The 20,662-nt window shown below is 40.4% G+C and overlaps 1 protein-coding gene across 4 annotated transcripts in view, besides 1 other annotated feature; it reads left to right on the plus strand.

Moving 5' to 3' along the window:
• NRF1 (nuclear respiratory factor 1) overlaps window positions 1–20,662 on the plus strand; it is a 145,357-nt gene that overhangs the window by 66,731 nt on the left and 57,964 nt on the right. For all 4 annotated transcript variants that reach the window (NM_001293163.2, NM_001293164.2, NM_005011.5 and 1 more), the window contains one exon: window positions 11,956–12,096. In NM_001293163.2, coding sequence (NP_001280092.1) covers window positions 11,956–12,096 — 141 coding nt within the window. The remainder of the gene's footprint in view (window positions 1–11,955; window positions 12,097–20,662) is intronic.
• Window positions 6,399–6,693: a silencer, noted in NCBI's record as "tiled region #6855; K562 Repressive DNase unmatched - State 15:Elon". NCBI's record gives its function as "represses a minimal TATA promoter and a strong SV40 promoter by Sharpr-MPRA in K562 cells {active_cell/tissue: K562}" and the evidence as "EXISTENCE:reporter gene assay evidence [ECO:0000049][PMID:27701403]".

A 20,662-nucleotide genomic window follows, 5' to 3' on the forward strand; every position in this document is an offset into this window, starting at 1 on the left:
AGGCATTTTTTGAGTTCAGAATTAGTAATCAATTGATCGAAATTCTGTTTGTTGTATTTTTTTCACACCATCTTCCTGTCCCTGAAATGTTGTGGGTATTTCTTAACATTTTTGAGTTCTGTTTTGAGTTTTTCCAAAAATTCCTGAAGCCCTACAATTAGGATGTGTTAGGACCTTTCCTTAGAAGAATATAGTAGAAGGCTCCTAGTTCAAAATGGTGCCTGAGAAATAGCCTTTACTGTCACACTGTTGACAAACATGAAATCTGGGCATTTCTTCTCTTCTTTAGTACTGAAAATCTAAAACAATACTACTACTGGTAGTAGTAAAGATGATGCAATCTATGAAAAAGATTCATCTAGAAGACTCAGAAAAATACTTCAGAAAATTACTCACTGCAAAAAAAACTTTTTAAGTTTTGGGAAACTGTTGGAGTCCTCCATAGAATACAAGAAGATATAGACTCTGTTAAACAGGATGCACTAGACTGAGATAAAAAGCATTTTACCTTTGACTGACATTGATAAATACAGGTTAGGGACTTGCAAGTACCAGTAAAATTAGAAGCAGAATATATCTTCCAGAGCACCGAAGAAAAAAAACAAAACCAAGTCTCTGTATAAAAGATAGAAAACAAGGAAGAAATGTTTAAAAACTGAATAAAACACATAGTCTAGAACACAATAATACAAGTGAGGCCAGTTAATTCTGTTATAAACCATACATATAAATGGGTTAAAGTGCCTTGTTAAAGGCATAGATGTTCTTTCAGGTTGGAACAACAATCCAAATCAAACCTTCCTCTATTCAATGTATGTGTCATACTCACAGCCACTCACAAATGTTAAAAGCAGCTGCAAGTAATAGAATCAAGAAAGTGAAAAGACAACATGCAGAGTGGGAGAAATATTTGCAAATCATGTCTGATAAAAAAACTTTTATCATATGTAGAGAATATATAAAGAATTCTGATATGTCTGATAAAAAAACTGATATATATTGAGAATATATAAAGAATTCTTACAACTCAACAATAAAAAGCAGGCAGATCATGAGGTCAGGAGTTCGAGACCAGCCTGGCCAATATGGTGAAACCCCATCTCTACTAAAAATACAAAAAAACTTAGCCGGGCCTGGTGGCACATGCCTGTAGTCCCAGCTACTCGGGAGGCTGAGGCAGAAGAATCTCTTGAACCCAGGAGGCAGAGGTTGCAGTGAGCCAAGATCGTGCCACTGCACTCCAGCCTGGGCAACAGATCAAGACTCCATCTCAAAAAAAAGAAAGAAAGAAAAGAAAGACAACCCAATTTAAAAATAGGCAAAAGGGCCACACACAGTGGCTCACGCCTGTAATCCTAGCACTTTGGGAGGCCAAGGTGGGTAGATCACTTGAAGTCAGGAGTTCAAGACCAGCCTGGCCAATATGGTGAAACCCCATCTCTACTAAAAATACAAAAATTAGCCAGACGTGGTGGCGGGCGCCTGTAATCCCAGCTACTCTGGAGGCTGAGGCAGGAAAATCTCTTGAACCCAGGAGGCAGAGGTTGCAGTGAGCCCAGATCACATGCCACTGCACTCCAGCCTGGGCAACACAGCCAGACTCTGTCTCAAAAAAATAATAATAATAAAAATAAAAATAGGCAAAAGGTCTGAATAGATATTTCTTCAAAGAAGATGTAGAAATGTCCAACAAGCACATGAGAACTAATGATAAATAATTATTTATCATTAATCATTATTATAGTCATTTATCATTAATAATCACATTTCGATTTTCATTTCCCTAATGCTGATGATTAATAATCATAGTCATTAGGGAAATGAAAATAAAAACCACAGTAAGATACCTCTTCATACCCACAGGGATGGTGAAGTTGGTGAAGATTTGGAGAAAGAAAAAGCAAAATGGTACAGCTGCTTTGGAAAACAATTTGTCAGTCTCTCAAAATGGTAAAAGTAAAGTTGCCATGTGTCCTAGCAGTTCTATTCCTAAGTTATACCCAAGAGAACTGAAAGCATATGTTCATACACAAACTTGTATACAGTGTTTATAGCAGCATTATTTATAATTGCCAAAAAGTGGAAACAACTCAAATGTTCATCGGCTGATGAATGGATAAATAAAATGTGGCATATCCATAGGATGGAATATTATTCAGCAAGAAAAAGGGAAGAAGTACTGATATTATACTACAGCATGGATGAACCTTTAAAACATTGTGCTAAGCAAAAGAACCCAGTCACAAAAGATCACATGTTGTATGATTCCATTTATATGCAATGTCCAGGATAGATAAATCTTATTTATAGAGAGAGAGTGGATTAGTGGTTGCCAGAGACTGGGGAAGGGGAAGAGAGTGACGCCAGTGGGCATGGGGTTTCTTTTAGGTGGAATGAAATGCTCTAAAATTAGATTTTGGTGGTAATTTTAGGACCCTATGAGTATAAAGTCTTACCCTTTAAATGGGTGAATTGTATGGTATGACAAACTAAATAATGACCCCCAGAGATGTGCAGGTCCCATCCCTGGAACCTGTGACTATTACCTTATACAGCAAAAGTGCAGTTGTAATTAAAAGGGTCTTGAATGGGGAGATTATTCTCGATTATCCAGGTAGGCCCTAAATGTAATCACAAGTGTCTTTATAAGAGGGAAGCAAAGGGAGATTGGCATAGAAGTAGATGTGTTGGTGGAAGCAAGAGGTTGGATGCAAGGAGGGGGTCCGGAGCCAGTGATACAGGCTAGACAGAAGCTAGACAAGGCAAAGAAACAATTCTGTCTTAGAGATGCTCCCTTAGAGACTGCAGAAGGACCTGGCCCTGCCAACACCTTGACTTTAGCCAAGTGAAACCAAGAAAATAAATTTGTATGGGTTTAAACCACCCAGTTTGTGGTGATTTGTGGGAGCCATAGGAAACAAATACATATGGTGTGTGAACTATGTATCAGTAAATCTGTTACAAATGTTGAATGTAAAATAACAGGCAAAAGTTTGTCAGAAAAATGCCTACAAAAATAAATCATGGATCACGGCATTAATATCAGACAAAGCCTAATTGTCAAGGCAAAAAAGTATTAACTGGCAACCAGGGGTCATTTAATATTGATAAGAAGTATTTATTTATTAATTTATTTATTTAGAGACAAGGTCGCACTCAGTTGCCCACCTTAGAGTGTAGTGGCACAATCTCAGCTCACTGCAATCTCCTCCTCTTGGGTTCAAGCGATCCTCCCGCCTCAGCCTCCTGAGTAGCTGGAACTATAGGCAGGTGCCGCCACACCCAGCTAAGATAAGAAGTACATATTTATCATGAACCTTTATATTCTTCAAGTAACTTTAAAGCAAAACATGGGGTCAGGTACAGTGGCTCATGCCTGTAATCCCAGCACTTGGAAGGCTGAGGTGGGAGGATTGCTTGAGGCCAAGAGTTCAAGACAAGCCTGGGCAACATAGTGGGACCTCATCTCTACAAAAAAAAAAAAAGCCAGGCATACTGGCCCACATCTGTACTCCCAGCTACTTGGGAGGCTGAGGCAGGAGGATTGCTTGAGCCCAGGAGATCAAGGCTACAGTGAGCCATAATGATGCCACTGCACTCCAGCCTGGGTGACAGAGTGAGACCCTGTCTCAATCAGTTAGTCAGTCAACCAGACATATATACATACCCAAGCATGTAGATCAAAAAGTTAGAAATGTAAGGAAAAAAGATAGTTAAAACCCACCATGGGGGGGCATGGTGGCACATATGTATAATCCCAGCACTTTGGGAGCTGAGGTGGGAGGATTGGTTGAGGCCAGGAGTTTGAGACCAGCCCAGGCAACATAATGAGACTTCATCTCTACAAAAAATTTAAAAATTAGCCAGATGTGGTAGCACATGCTTATAATCTTAGCTTCTTGGGAGGCTGAGATGTGAAGATTGCTTGAGCCCAGAGGTCAAGTCTGCAGTGAGCTGTGATTGCACCACTGCACTCTAGCCTGGATGACAGAGCAAGACCCTGTCCCAAAGGAAAAAAAAAACAAAACAAAAAAACCCCGCAATGATAGTAAGAGGATTTACTATCCTTGCCAGATCAACAAAGCAAAATATAAACAAGAATATAGAGATCTGAATAACAGATTTAATAAGGTTGACAGTCTAGGCAACATAGTGAGACCCTGTCTCTGCAAAAAAATGTAAAAAAAAAAAAAAAAAAAAAAGGATCTGGGTGTGGTGGTGTGCACTTGTAATCCCAGCTATTTGAGATGCTGAGGCAGGAGGATTACTTGAGCCTAGGAGTTCAAGGATGCAGTGAACTATGATTATTCCACTGTGCTCCAGCCTGGGTGACAGAGTGAGACAATGGCCCAAAAAACAAACAAAAGAAGCTGATACAATAGATACAGGAGCATTGACACCTTACAAGGGGATAAATATATCATATTTGAAAAATTACATAAATGGATTATAAGAATTGACCATTTATTACTACCAGGCCTCAAATAATTTTTTTTTTGAAACAAGATCTTGTTCTGTTGCCCAGGCTGGAGTGCAGTGGTGCAGTCTCAGCTCACTGCAACCTCTGCCTCACCAGTTCAAACAGTTCTCCTGCCTCAGCCTCCTGAGTAGCTGGCTAATTTTTATATTTTTAGTACAGACAGGGTTTCACCATGTTGGCCGGGCTGGTCTTGAACTCCTGACCTCAAGTGATTTGCCTGCCTTGGCCTCCCAAAGCGTTGGGATTATAGGTGTGAGCCACCAGCCCTGGCCCCAGAGAATATTTTCTGATCATAGTACAGAAAATTCAGAATTTTAGAATTTCAAAAGACAAGAAAAAAATTTCAATCATGTGGAGAGTGTGTGTGTGTGTGTGTGTGTGTGTGTGTGTGAGAGAGAGAGAGAGAGAGAGAGAGAAAGAGAGAGACTTGCTCTATTGCCCAGGCTAGAGTGCAATGGTGCGATCTCAGCTAACTGCAACCTCTGCTTCCTGTGTTCAAGTGATTCTCCCTGCTTCAGCCTCCTGAGTAGCTGGGATTACAGGTGCGTGCCACCATGCCCGGCTATTTTTTATGTTTTTACTAGAGACGGGGTTTCACCATGTTGGCCAGGCTGGTCTCAAACTCCAGACCTCAGGTAATCCACCTGCCTCGGCTTCCCAAAGTGCTGCGATTACAGGCATGAGCCACCACAACTGGCCGGAATTTTTTTTTTTTTTTTTTTGAGATGGAGTCTCACTCTATCACCCAGGCTAGAGTGCAGTGGTGCGATCTCGGCTCACTGCAGCCTTTGCCTCCCAGGTTCAAGCAATTCTCTGCCTCAGCCTCCGAGTAGTTGGGATTACAGGCTCCTGCCACCATGCCCGGCTAATTTTTGTATTTTTACTAGAGAGGAGGCTTCACCATGTTGGCCAGGCTGGTCTTGAACTCCTAACCTCAGGTGATCCTCCTGCCTCAGCCTCCCAAAGTGCTGGGATTACAGGCGTGAGCCACCCCTCCTGGCTGGAAATTTTTAAAAGAAAATCTTAATTTACAGGTTATTTAGAAACAAAAATGATAACCAAAAATAAAAACTTAGAAGGTATTATCTAAACTGGTATTCAAAGGAATATTCATTGTCTTATTTTCAAAAAAATTTATATGAGAAAGTTGGAAAAGAAAGAAACTCCATCTAGCTAAAGAAGGTAGAAAGAGAATAATAAAATAAGTCTAAGAAAAAATAGAATAAATAAACGTGAAAGAAATGAATGAGTTAGCGAACAGGGAAAAGTAGACTTGTTAAATTCAAGAATTGGTTCTATAAAAAGTCTGATAAAACAGAAAAACTGCTACATGCTAATGAGGAAAAGGGAGAAGAAAACTAATACGTAGCTTTAGAAACAAGATAGCTGTAATTGCAGACAAGAAGAGATTGAAAATTGTAAGAAAAGGCTATGTATTAGTTCTGTTCTTGCAAGTTAAAATCTCAGCCAAGTGGATTAACTTAGTAAGAAAATAAAATAACCAAAACACATCCAAACCTCAGAATAAATATTAACCGAAAACCTCAATAGAGTAATAAACATATACAAAATTGGAAAAGTGATTAAAGAACTACATCCCTCAAAGAGACCCTAGGCCCCAATTATTTTGGTTGACTTCTGTTAAACATTTAAGGTACAAATAATTCCCTAATCTTATACCCTAGTCTTATTATAGTCATTTATCATTAATAATCAAATTTTGATTTTCATTTCCCTAATGATTAATGATAAATAATCATTGTCTTTAGGGCAATGAAGAACCGTGGGAGTTGCATGCAATGTGGAAGATATGTGGAAAGTAGTATAGTGAAAGCCCCGTTGCTCATGTATTTACTTCGTCAACATATAACTATTTAACACTATTGGATACAAGGTATGAGATAAGGATTCCATCTGAGTCCTTTGGGGTTTCAGGGTTCAAAACTGGGAATCCCAAAGGACTAAGGGGAAATGAGAGCCCTGAACTGAGGCAGGAGAACAAAGGAGGCAGACACTGGGGCTGGAGAGACAATAGGATGAAGTCAACATAACTTCAGGGGCCACAGCCTGCAGCCTGGCTGGAAGCCAGATGTGCTTCACAGTCACAGGTCTGAGGGCAGCAGCTCTTTGTTACATACCTCAGATGATAATGTGTTTTTAGTCTCATAGGAGCTTGTAGAAAATTTAAAAAAAAATTTTTTTTATGAGACCTTCCCAAAGACTCTTCCTTTATCCAGTTAAGCTTCAGGAATACAAAAAAATTATGGTATCTTGTCTGGGACTATTTTTGCAACCCAACTGAAGGCCCAGTGACCTTATAGCAAACATTTTGAAAATTAGCCAAGTGTGGTGGCACACACCTGTGATCCCAGCTACTTGGGAGGCTGAGGTGGGAGGATCACTGGAGCTCAGGAATTCGAGGCTGCAGTGAACAAACCTGCGTGACAGAGCAAGACCTTGTTTCAAAGAACAAAACAAAATAAAACTCTAATGGCTCCTGCAAATACCCTAAACACCCTCCATCTCTGGTAATTATAAAATGTTTGTTAATGTGTTACCTGTATATGTATATTTAAAATATTTTATATTTCAGCCTGGGCAACATGTAAGACCCTGTCTCATTCAAGTGTGTGTGTGTGTGTGTGTGTGTGTGTGTGTGTGTGTGTGTGTGTGTATGAAAAATAAGCAAAAGACCTGGTCCCTATGCTCAGCAATGTCATGCACTGGTTGTGTATAGTGTATTCTGGAAATAACAGTATAAGTGACACATGTTTATTTGTGTCAGTAGGAATTTAAAGGAGGAAGAGAATTATGGCAAGGATACTTGGGAAGTTTTTTCAGAGCAAGTGGGAATTGAATTGGGCCTAGAAAAATGGAAAATATTTGGATAAGAAGCAGATTTATGTGGTGGCTCATGTCTGTAATCCCAGCACTTTGGGAGGTCTAGGTGGGCAGATCACTTGAGGTCAGGAGTTTGAGACCAGCCTGGTTGAAACCCTGTCTGTACTAAAAATGCAAAAAAATAGCCGGGCATGGTGGCAGGCACCTGTAATCCTGGCTACTCAGGAGGCTGAGGCAGGAGAATCTCTTGAACCCAGGAGATGGAGGTGGCAGTGAGCCGAGATCACACCACTGCACTCCAGCCTAGGCAACAGAGTAGGACTGTATCTCAAAAAAAAAAAAAAAAAAAAGGTCTTTAGAAGTTTCAAAGAAGAGAACTTGCTAGATGCCAAGGTGAGCGACGAGGTTGGGCAGCTAAAGAAGGAAGAAGGTGAGCAAAGTTGCTCAGTATAGGACTCCATGGAGGTTGTATGCTGGGAGCTCAAGAGGTGTCATTCACATAGTCTCCAGGGTTAGGCAGGCACAACTTTATCTGGAGGCTCTGGCAAAGGAGTATTGGAAAAATAAATAATTGGAAAGATTGAAATGCTGGCCAGAGAAACTTGGACTTTGTCCTATAAGAAGTGAGGAACTATAGCAGTTTCTTGAGAAAAAAAGATAAATGATAGTGATGTGGCTAAATATACCAGCTTTAGAGCTACATAAAAATTTGTTTGATTTTTGGCTACACTTCTTACTAGTTAATATGATTTGGAGAAAGTTACTTAAGTTTATTAAGCCTCAGTTTTCTTATTTGCAAAATGAACATAATATTTTCCTTATAGAATTATGGTAAGGATTATTTGAGACAACACATGTAGTGCTTGGCACAAAGTAAGTGCTCAATAAACGGTGTTTGATGACAATAAGTGTTTCCAAAATTTCAAATGGCAGTGGTATACAAGATGAATTGAGGCAAGAGAATGGTAACTGATTTTGATTTAAGTGGTTGTTTACCTTAGTTGTGCAACCAATTGACATGTTGGTATGAAGTGACAAAGGCGTAAGCTATGGTTTTTGGAATAGGAGGCATAAGTTGGAACACAAACCTGTATTTTATCTCATCTGTGACACCATTGATTATAAGATGTGCTGTTATTTGTGTACTATGAAGAAAGAAAAAACATTGATAAATGTTGACACAATGCTATCACTTAGAATTTTTATTTTCTACTTATTGAAAGAGCTCTTTCAAGGCTTAGACATAGCTTTTAATCATATATCATTTTTGTATACATATATAAAAAGGAAAATGTAAGTGAAATAAGGTATTCCTAAAACTTCTTCACATTCAGAGTCCAACCCTTTTGAATTACTTCTTGTTTCAGTCATCATTGTCTGTGTTTTTTCATGTAATATTGTCCTCTGTGCCATCATGAAAACAGGCAATGCTATATTTCTTTAAAAAGTGCTCTGTTATTGTCTGAATTTTTGCCCCCAAGCAGCAACAGGTTTGATGCAAGTCCTTTTTTTTTTTTTTTTGAGGCGGAGTCTCACCCTGTTGCCCAGGCTGGAGTACAATGGTGCAAATCTCAGCTCACTGCAACCTCCACCTCCCGGGTTCAAGCAATTCTCCTACCTCAGCCTCCCAAGTAGCTGGGATTACAGGCGCCCACCACCACGCCCAGCTAATTTTTGTATTTTTAGTATAGACAGGGTTTCACCATGTTGGTCAGGCTGGTCTCGAACTTCTGACCTCAGGTGATCTGCCCGCCTCGGCCTCCCAAAGTGCTGGGATTACAGGCGTGAGCCACCGTGCCTGGCGATGCTTCTTGATCTTAACAGAAATTGTCATTGGGAAGGTAGTAGACAACAGCCAAGACTCACATTCTCTTCTGAAATGGTGCTAAATGATTTGTTGAGTAAAAAGGCCAGGGATAGCAAACATGTTCACATGGCTGCAGGCAATGACAGCTATGCCCTGTTGTTGCCTTGTCCATAGCAATTTTAAGATGTATCCCAATTTCAGAAGACTGATAAATATGAAAGAAAAATGCATCTCAGAATTGATAGATCAGATAGAATTAAAACATGAGGTCAGTAATTCTGAGAAGGTTACTTAACTTTAGTAAGCAAGCTTAGATAGAAATGCTTTGGTAATACCTGAAGTTGTTTTGTTGCAAATTACTTAGGGATGCTCTACTAGCACTAAAAAACAAACAAACAAAAGATGTTTTAAAAGAATTATATAGCACTGATAAGCTGACTCATAAAAATGGCTGAAATTGTTTGAAACTGGCTAATAAAGAAGTAGTAACCTAATGATTTTCCATTTTTGAATGCCAGGTGTTTCTAAAAGCCAGATGAAGTTTGTTTTTATTTTAAAATTATTTATTTTTGAGACAAGGTCTGGCTCTGTCACCCTGGCTGGAGTGGCACTATCTTGGCTCACTGCAACCTCCACCTCCTGGGCTTAAGCCATCCTCCTACCTCAGCCTCCCGAGTAGCTGGGACCACAGGTGCGCACTACCATGCCTGGCTAATTTTTGTATTTTTAGTAGACACAGGGTCTCACCATGTTGCCTAGGCTGGTCTCAAACTCCTGGGCTCAAGGGATCTGCCTGCCTCAACTTCCCAATGTGCTGGGATTACAGGTGTGAGCCACTGCACACAGCCTGTTTTTCTAATATGATCATTCTTCCTATTGGCTTATACCTAATAGAAGGATTTAACCTTATAAACCTTAAAGTTCTAAGACCAGAAGCTAGGTGTATTAGTCCGTTTTCACACTGCTATAAAGAACTAACTGTGACTGGGTAATTTATAAATAAAAGAGGTTTAATTGACTTACAGTTCCACATGGCTAGGGAGGCTTCAGGAAACTTAACAATCATGGCAGAAGGGGAAGCAAGGCACGTCTTACATAGTGGCAGGAGAGAGACAGAGAGAGAGACAAAGAGAGACAGGTGCGGAGAGGGAATGCCGGTGGAACTGCCAAACACTTTTAAACCATCAGCTCTTATGAGAACTCACTATCACGAGAACAACATGGGAGAAACTGCCCCCATGATCCAGTCACCTCCCACCAGGTCCCTCCCTCAGAATGTAGGAATTACAATCAAGATGAAATTTGGGTGGGGACATAGAGCCAAACCATATCACTAGGCTTATAAGATTCATTTGTGTGTGTGTGTGTGTGAGTAGGCAGCATAAATACTATCTAGACTACAGGAACATAGCAGAAAATACAATCCTGTAAAGTTGCTGTGGCAACATCAGCTGCTTATGTTGCAATAAATATAATGGCAATAATTTTTGAAACTTTATTTTTTATTAGAGACCAGGATACAACTGAATCTCTGGAAAGATAATGAGTCTACCAGTTTGTGCTATTTTTCTCTTATCCCCTTAGTTATTGACCTATTTGGAGGATTCTTCAACTGCAGAAGTTGCACCATGTAGCCAGTAATAATATTTATTTTTCCAGATGCTTGGGGTAGAGTATGGGAATTTTTCTTTTTTAATCCACATAATGAGGTATTTATAAGGAAGTGTATAGAGTCCAGCCCACTCAGCAGACAACCCAGGATTCAAACATTGCTGGAACTTCTAGTCAAACCTCATTTTCTCTTCCATTTGTTTCCCTAAAATAGTGCCTTGAGCCCAGAAAGCAAGTTAATTTCCTAGCCCACTTGTCACATTTCCATAATTCCATGGCTTCTTTGTTATTCCCAGAGGTATCCTCATACCCCTTGTGTATTCTCCTAAGTGAATGAACCCATTTTTTCCTCTCCCAAGTTCCAGGCATTCAGATGAACCCATTATATTGGTGGTTGGAAGACCCAGCGTCTGTCCACCCTTTCTGTTCATGATCGAATGTGTGCATGTCCAGTGTGTTACTGTTAAGTTGAGACATGTAACTGGCAGTAGTGGGAATGCAGACAACGAACAACAATATCTGGTTCCAACCTGGGCTAGAGCTAAAGGCGTCATGGGTTGGAGGTTCACTTCTGTCACCAAGCCCTACCAGAAGCAAGGGAGATTTGACCTATGGGGCTCCCTTTGGCCCGGGCCTTACCAGTAGTGGCACTCAGCTACAACATACACCTATCAGTTTTTTTTCTCTGATTCTTTTCAGTCCAGTCTCTTGTATGCTTGAATCTCCTGTCTGTTTGGTAGTCTGGCTTTGCAGGAATGTAGCAGCAGTTTTGAATGAATTGGTTACTTTAAGTTTTAGAAATGTAAGTCCTTGAAGATCTTGAAAATGATTTTGGTGATGAGCTGCCACAGCTGGTTGTTCAAGCAATGGCCTGGGAAATGCAGAACCATGAATACCATGCCTGTTAGACCTGGAACAGGCAATGGCACCCTCATTGAGAAAATGTGATTTTGACTAAGAAGCAGTATTTCTGGAAAATTTTTTCACTGGCTCTCTTCTATTGTTGTTACCTGCAATTTCATCATCTTTTCATTTAATTATGTTCAGTATGATGTCTTTGGGACCAGTGGGTATTTTTATTTGCTTGTAGAAGTGTTTGTTTTTAAGGCTATGCAATGGCTCAGGAAGGCCAGCCCCACCCACTCTCTTGTTGCTTGGCACCAATCCTCCCTGGTTGTTGGGCATCTTGTTTACTTCTGCCCTTAATTCCCTGCAGGTGCGTAAGTACAAGAGCATGATCCTGGAAGACCTGGAGTCTGCTCTGGCAGAACACGCCCCTGCGCCACAGGAGGTTAACTCAGAACTGCCGCCTCTCACCATCGACGGAATTCCAGTCTCTGTGGACAAAATGACCCAGGTGAGGGGTGGGAGGTGAGGAGGAGACTCAAAGACAAGTGGCACAGGTGTGGGCGGGCCTCTGATCACTTTTCTGCATTTTGTCCTCAGTGATCTGACCAGGGAGTGAGATGCTGACTGGAGTCTTGTAGTGAAACAGTAGCAGCCTTGGAAAAGACATTATAGTGCCAGAAAAGTGCTCCCAACCAAGGGCATGGCTGTGGTCTCCTCTTTCTTCTGGCAGTTTTTTTTTCCCTTTCACTTGGGCCTTTGGGTTGGATTTAAAAAAAAACAAAAAAACTTTTAGCTTGGGGTTGGTCTGAACAAAAGAACATTAGGAGTTTAATGAATCACAGTCAAGGTAGCCAAGTAAACTTTTAGCCCTCGGGCTGCTCTGCTCCTCTTTCAATGTAAATTCTAAATACTTCCATAATTATTACTAAGTACAGCTTCCTTCCGCAAGAATGTAAAAGTCAGAGTGACAGTCTTCTGAGTCGTTGATTTCCTCTTCCTTTTTAAAATTTTTATTTAAATTTTACGATTTCTAAAGATGAGGGTCTCACTGTGTTGCCCAGGCTGATCTCAAACTCCTAGGCTCAAGCGATCCTCCTGCCTCAGCCTCCCAAAGTGCTGGGATTACAGGCATGAGCCACTGTGCCAGCCTGATTTCCTCTTCCTTTAAGAAGGGAAGTCAAAAATGTACTTAGCATGATAAATCAGCATACCTTAGTAATTTTTATGAAATTATCCCCTTTATATATTTTTAGTTTAGCTTCATCAAAATCAAACACCTTTTTAACATATTTTCCCACCCTATTTATTTATTTATTATTATTATTATTTTTTTTTTTTTTTGAGACAGAGTCTCGAGCTGTGGCCCAGGCTGGAGGGCAGTGGTGTGATCTTGGCTCACTGCAACCTCCGCCTCCTGGGTTCAAGCGCTACTCGTGCCTCCGAATAGCTGTGATTATAGGTGCGGGCTACCACACCTGGCTAATTTTTGTTTTTTTAGTAGAGATGGGGTTTTGCTGTGTTAGCCAGGATCGTCTCAAACTCCTGACCTCATGTGATCCGCCTGCCTCGGCCTCCCAAAGTGCTGGGATTACAGGCGTGAGCCACCACACCCAGCCCACCCTATTTCTTTATTAATTTACTTCTATCTTGCTAAATCCACTTGTCAGGTTTTTTTCCTTATCTTATTCAGTCTTCAGCAGCATTTGACATAGTTGATTACTCCTTAAAGCATCTTCTCTCTGTCTCTTGACCACACCCTCTTCTGAAGATCCTCATCCTTCACTAGGTGCTCCCCTCATCCCTTCTGGGGCCCCTCTTCCTCTTCTTACCTGATCATCGATATGCTGTTTTCACCCAGTTTACCCTCACTGTTAGATGTCTGGTCCTCACACGCCCCAAACAGAACCTTTGGTTGTTCCTACTCTCCACTCCACATCTGTTCCTCTCCAGGCGTTCCCCATATCAGTTAATCGAACTACTGTCCATCTGGTTGCTCAAGTCCCAGTATAGAAGTAATCCTGATTTCCTTGTTTTGCCCTCTCCCTCCACATTCCCCTGCCACCCTCCCGGTGGCAGGTCATGTCAGTTCACCTCTGAAATGTACCCTGACTCTGGCCATTCTTCTCACTTCCCATCAGCACCCAAGTCCAAGCCTTTAGCATCTCTCATATAGCCTATCCACTGTGGTCTGCTGCAGTCCATTCTCCATGTAGCCATCATAGTAGTTTTTTAAAAAACTTAAATCATGCCGGACGTTGTAGCTCATGCCTGTAATCAAGAGGAGGATCCCTTGAGTCCAGGAGTTCGATATCAGCCTGGGCAGCAGGCTGGTATTTTTTTTGTCTCTACAAAAAATACAAAAATTAGCTGGGGCCATGGTGGTGTATGCATGTAGTCTCAAATACTTGGAAGGCTGAGGTGGGAGGATCGTTTGAGCCCCAGAGGTTGAGGCTGCAGTGAGCCGAGATTGTGCCACTGCACTCCAGCCTAGGTGACAGAGCGAGATCCTGCCTCAAATAAATGAGTGAATAATGAATGAATGAATGAATAAATTTATTTATTTATTTAATTCAGGCCATATCACTTCCTTGTTTAAGCCCTGTAATGGTTTTCCACTATTCCTAGAATCAAATTCAGACTCTGCCATGGCTTTGAAGGCCCTATGTAATCTGACCTCTTCCTGCCTCATCATCTTCCCCTCAGTCACTGGGCTGCGGCCACTGTAGCCCTCTTTTCCTCAAACACCCTGCATCCGTTATTTTGCTTTTGCTGTTCCCTTTGCCTGAGTATTGTTCTCCCAGATGATTGCATGATGGACTTTATCTTATTCAAAGTCTAGCTCAAATATCACCTCTGAGACAAGCCTTTCTTGATTATCCCACCTAAATGAAGCTTTCTTCTCCCTACCAAGCCACTAATACATCCTCTGTGTTCTTGTCTGTATAACACTTGTTACTACCTGGAATTGTCTCATTTATTAACTTGTATACTTATTTGTGGTCTCCCCAGCTAGAATTTCAGGAATTTAGTTTCTGTCCTTTACTTCTGTTCAGTATAGCTGCTCAGCTTCTGAAATAACATGTTATCTAAATAATAGTATCTGTTCAGTAAATGACTTCAGAGTTAGAGCAAAAATGAGTTAAGCGCAGTGGTGGGGAACAGGATCGCAAGTCCCCTGGGCAGTTGTTTACTCAGTGTGGACGCTGACGCTGCTGCTCAGGGGTGGCACTTTTATTTTTTATTCCATCTGAACCAGCAACTTGGTCTGAAGTAATACTATATTTTATAAATATAAACCTAAATAGTGATCTTTTGATTGTTGGATTCATAGCCCTTTCTGTGGACACTGGAAGGATCTCTAAATAGTGGTTCAGAAAGGAAAGCATATCTAAACCAAGCTTGTCCAACCCACGTCCCGCAAGACGCATGTGACCCAGAATGGCTTTGAATGTGGCCCAACACAAATTCGTAAACTTTCTTAAAACATTATGAGATTTTTTGGCGTTTTTTTTTTCTTCAGCTCATTGGCTGTTATTAATGTTAGTGTATTTTATGTGTGGCCCAAGATAATTCTTCCTCTAATGTGGCCTAGGGAAGCCAAAAGATTGGACACCCCGATCTAAACTTTTCTTTACTGTCTTTTTACAGTTTCTATTATTCTGTTTCTAGAGGCATTCTGACTGGTTCAAGTAAAGAAAACATAAAGTGAATTATTTTTATCTAGTTGATGTGAAGAATCTACTCTGTCTCAGATGTAAAGTACATCTACTGCCTAAGCCTTTGGTTTCTAATACTGTGTTAGGTAAACTCCTCTCCTGTGATGGGTATTTTTTGTTCTTTGTCACATTTGGTGTGTTAGGGTAAAGCAGTCTGAGGTTTTGATTATATTATATCATCGTGGATTGGCCACAAAAGTCAGCAAACAGTTTAGTTATTATCATTTTGGAGGTAAGACATTTGAAAGTGTTGTTTTCCATATTTGTCAAAACCACACTCAGTAGAGCTTGGTGTGCTGGTGAATGAGGAGCTGGATCTCAGTTGTCAAACTCATAGATACTTTGTTGGAGGTGCACATTTTCTCTATCATATGCTCCCTCTTTCCCCTTCTTACCAAAGATGATGACTAAAAAGTCAACCATAACAAATAAAATAAAACAAACAAATGAGGAGGAAGAGGGAGCAGGATGATGAAAAACCCAGCTCCCAATTGAATGGGAATTTCCAAGTATTTGGATCCTGGCATTTTCCCCCCTCAACGTTTTATTGTTGTTTGTTTTCATTGAATACTTTTTTCTTAACTTGAGCTAAATAGCTCCTCTTTGTCTCTGTCTCTCTTTTTTTTTGGGGATGGAGTCTCACTCTGTTGCCCAGGCTGGAGTGCAATGGCACGATCTCGGCTCACTGCAACCTCCGCCTTCCAGATTGAGGCAATTCTCCCACCTCAGCCTCCTGAGTAGCTGGGACTACAGGCATGCGCCACCATGCCTGGCTAATTTTTTTTGGATTTTTAGTAGAGACAGGGTTTCACCACGTTGACCAGACTGCTCTTGAACTCCTGACCTTGAGTGATTCTCCCATCTTGGCCTCCCAAAGTGCTGGGATTGCAGGCACGAGCCACTGCGCCCAGCCAATAGCTCTCTTTTATAATTGATCCTAAAGACTTTCACTATTAATGGGAGTAAAAGGAGGGTTTTATTTCCACCCAAACCTAGATAGACAAGGGTATGGGACTGCAAGCAGTTTAATACACTGTTAGTGAGAATGCAGATTGGTACACTTTCTCTAGATGGCAGGTTGGCAATGCATATCAAAGTCTAAAAGGTGTGTATCATGCCCTCCAGTTAAACACAGATGTACATTGTTTATTACAGCATGCTTACAATAGGAAAATTGGGAACAATGTGATTGGTTAAATTATGATGGTGTTTAGAATTTATATAGGAAGACGAGCAGCATAGCCCAAAAGAGATGATTCCGTGAACTGTTAGACACTAAAAATGATGATTTGCTCTTTATTGCAGTGAATTATATTTGTGGTATGTTAAATTAAAAAACTGATTGTAAAGTAGCATTTTTTATATACTGTAATTTGAGGAGTTTAGGGCTTTATTTTTCTGTTTCTTTTGGGAGATTTAAAAAAAATTCTGGGAACACAGAATTGAGCTGATTTATCTCATTTTCTATAACATTAACATAAAACATGCCCACCTCTGTGTGTATAGAACTTTGGAGGGATGCACATTAAAATCTTAACACTGCCGGGCATGGTGGCTCACTCCTGTAATCACAGCACTTTGAGAGGCTGAGGTGGGTGGATCACCTGAGGTCAGGAGTTCGAGAGCAGCCTGGCCAACATGGCAAAACCCTGTCTCTACTAAAAATACAAAAATCAGCCAGGTGTGGTGGCACGCCCCTGTAATCCAGCTACTCGGGAGGCTGAGGCAGAAGAATCGCTTCACCCTGGGAGGCGGAGGTTACATTGAGCCGAGATCATGCCACTGCACTCCAGCCTGGGTGACAGAGCAAGACTCGATCTCAAAAAAAAAAAAACAAAAAAAACTGATTGTAAAGTAGCATTTCTTATATACTGTAGTTTGAGGGGTTTAGGGCTTTATTTTTCTCTTTCTTTTGGGAGATTTTTTTTTTTTTAATCTGGGAACACAGAATTGATCTGATTTATCTCATTTTCTAAAACATTAACATAAAATATGCCCACCTCTGTGTGTTTAGAACTTGGAGGGATGTACATTAAAATATTAACACTAATTATCTACACATGGTGGCATTATAGGTGATTTTCATTTTCTTTATCTAAATAAGCATGAATTGCTTTTATAATAGAAATACAAAAAACTATTTTCCTATTTTATATTAAACTTGAATATTTTAAAGTGCAAAGTTAGGCCGGGCGCAGTGGCTCACACCTGTAATCCCAGCACTTTGGGAGGCCGAGGCAGGTGGATCACCTGAGGTCAGGAGTTCGAGACCAGCCTGACCAACATGGATAAACCCCGTCTCTACTAAAAAAAAAAAAAAAAAAAAAAAAAACAACCAAATTAGCCGGGCTTAGTGGTACATGCCTGTAATCCCAGCTACTCAGGAGGCTGAGGCAGGAGAATCGCTTGAACCCAGGAGGCGGAGGTTGCAGTGAGCCGAGATCATGCCATCGCACTCCAGCCTGGGGCAACAAGAGCGAAACTCCGTCTCAAAGAAAATAAAAATAAATAAATAAAGTGCAAAGTTTGATAATGTTTCTGCTTTGTTTTACGCAAAGATTACTTTATGTTAACATGAAGATGTCAACAACTCTCTTTTTCCCCCCTTATTTTCCTCTTAAATAGATACTGTGTGTTGGAAGGCACATTACTAAGTTCTTTACAGGGGCATCTCATTTAATCCACCTTTCTGTGTGTGTGTATGTGTGTTGTAAAAAATTCTTATTTTATAGTCAAGGAAGCAGAGCTCAGATATAGCTTATAGCCATAAAGAACAAGTACATTTTACTGGACATTAATTCTAGATTTCAGAACATGTGGGTAATTTATGGCTTCCTTGAAGTGATAAAATTCTAGAACTATCAAATTGGACTGTAATAGAGATAGACTTGGGTTAACCAGACAACTCTATTAATCATCTTATCTGCACTTAATGGTATAGAGATAACTTGATATTGATGACCCTAACTTAGAAATCTATATAGGATCCTAAGATACATTCTGAATCATCTAAAGAGAGTAAATTATATTCAATATTGTTCTAATATTATGTGTTGCACTATTTTGTATCTTTATAAATGAGAAGGTTAGCATGATTTATTGGAAAGAATACTAACTCAGAGTGAGAAGATCTATTCTCTAGTCTCAATTCTACTACATATAACCATGGTTCTCACTTTCATCTTCTGATGAAATATATGCCCTCCTACCTTAAGGAGTTAGAGGAAGAAAAATAAAATTTGGTGTAGGAAAATGTTTTGAAAACTAAAGCATCACACCAAGGTATTATTACTAATTATTAATGTTAATTATATGTATTGCCTATATTCATTTTTGAATAACCTGAACATACCATCTCTCAGCCATGCTTTATTAGAGAAAGTTCATGAACCAAGAATTTTAATTTTTCTCAACAATTAAGTGAGACAACACAGGTGGCTTTTTTTTTCTTTTCCCTGGTGTCTACGAAAACAAAATATTTTTCAGATTGAAAATTGAGGCATAAATAGCCGGGCGCGGTGGCTCACGCATGTAATCCCAGCACTTTGGGAGGCTGAGGTGGGCAGATCATGAGGTCAGGAGATCGAGACCATCCTGGCTAACATGGTGAAACCCCGTCTCCACTAAAAATTTAAAAAAAAAAATCAGCCCGGTGTGCTGGCACATGCCTGTAGTCCCAGCTACTTGGGAGGGCGAGACAGGAGAATCGCTTGAACCCGGGAGGCGGAGGTTGCAGTGAGCCGAGATCACACCACTGCACTCCAGCTTGGGCGACAGAGTGAGACGCAGTCTCAAAAAAAAAAAAAATTGAGGCATAAATAGAAAATGAAATTTATGAAGCAAGCTAGTGACAGATAGAACTTAGGGCTGCATTCATATTGCCAGTGCTTTTTAAAAAATCTTTTTTGTATAAAACTGTATTGTGTTCATTATTCAGATTGACTCTTTCAGCTAGTCTGCACTAAACATTTACTTTTTTTGTTTTTGTTTTTGTTTTTGAGACAGAGTCTCACTCTGTTGCCCAGGCTGGAGTGAAATGGTGCGATCTCAGCTCACTGCAACCTCCACCTCCTGGGTTCAAGCGATTCTCCTGCCTCAGCCTCCCCAGTAGCTTGGATTACAGGCGGACGCCACCACGCTAGGTTAATTTTTTGTATTTTTAGTAGAGAAGGGGTTTCACCATGTCAGGCTGGTCTCGAACTGCTGAGCTCAGGCAATCTGCCGGTCTTGGCCTTCCAAAGTTTTAGGATTACAGGTGTGAGCCACTGCACCCAGCCAACATTTACTTTTTAAAAGAATTTTTTACTTGCCCCAAAACTCTCAAACTTGTCTCCTACACATATAAAAATTGTACATAGCAATGTCTGCAGTTCTGTGAGAACTAAATGCTCTGTTCTTTTAGGAAGCAGCTCTCTTGGTTTTTGTCTTTTGTCTTTTTTGTTTTGTTGAAAGCATGATTCTTTATTAGTAAATAGGATGTTTTACCTGGAAAGTTTCTGTTTTTATTATTATAACTATATTAAAGTTTTTAGTCTCTTCTTTTGGTGCCATGACTTGGATTATAGTCCTCATTTTGGCAGGGGGGTGGGGGGTGGGTCTGCACGTTAGAAAACTACATAGCTCTATGATATTTTTAGTTATTAAAATGAAAATTTGGATTTCTAGGCACCTTTAAGAATAGTGGCTGGAACTTATTCTATACTTACTCCATATCTATTTTAGAATTGGAGGAGGTTGAGATAAAGCTTAGCAAAAGGGATCCTTAGTTTGGGGTAGGTTCTGTAACCCCAGAATTCATTTACAATGAAGTCTCCTTTTTCAGATTTTGAAAGTCAGGTTAGTAAATTTCTTTTAGGATACTACAGACCAGGGCCTAGTGGATGGGCTAAGTCAGTTCCTCTCAAACTTCAGAGTGTGCAGCAGTCACCTGAGAAGTGGTGTTCAAATGCAGATTAGGAATCAGTAGGTCTGGAATGGGCCTGAGGTTCTGCCTTGCTGGTGAGCCCCCAGGTGATGCCAATGCTGCTGTTTCTCAGACTATGCTTTGAATTCAAGGAATTGCATAGCTTCTTGCAGAGTCTTTAAGCAATAATTATGATTTTGCTAGTGGAAAATCAGTTCTGCTCTTTACCAGACTTGGGTCCTGTAGGCATCTCTTGTTCTTGGGAGGTGGTAAATCTCTTTGGAATCTGTATTAGAAGACATCCAGGCAAAGATATAATTATAGAAGAATCATCACTGGAAAGACCTGGGCGGTATTATTGATTAAAATCCACTCTTCTTTCCCTTCTCCCTTCCCTCACCTTCCTTGAACTTACTGCCCTCCTCTTACTGTCATTGGGGCAATCTTTGTTGCTT

Source organism: Homo sapiens, chromosome 7, assembly GCF_000001405.40.
Source record: "Homo sapiens chromosome 7, GRCh38.p14 Primary Assembly".
NCBI classification, from domain to species: Eukaryota; Metazoa; Chordata; class Mammalia; order Primates; family Hominidae; genus Homo; species Homo sapiens.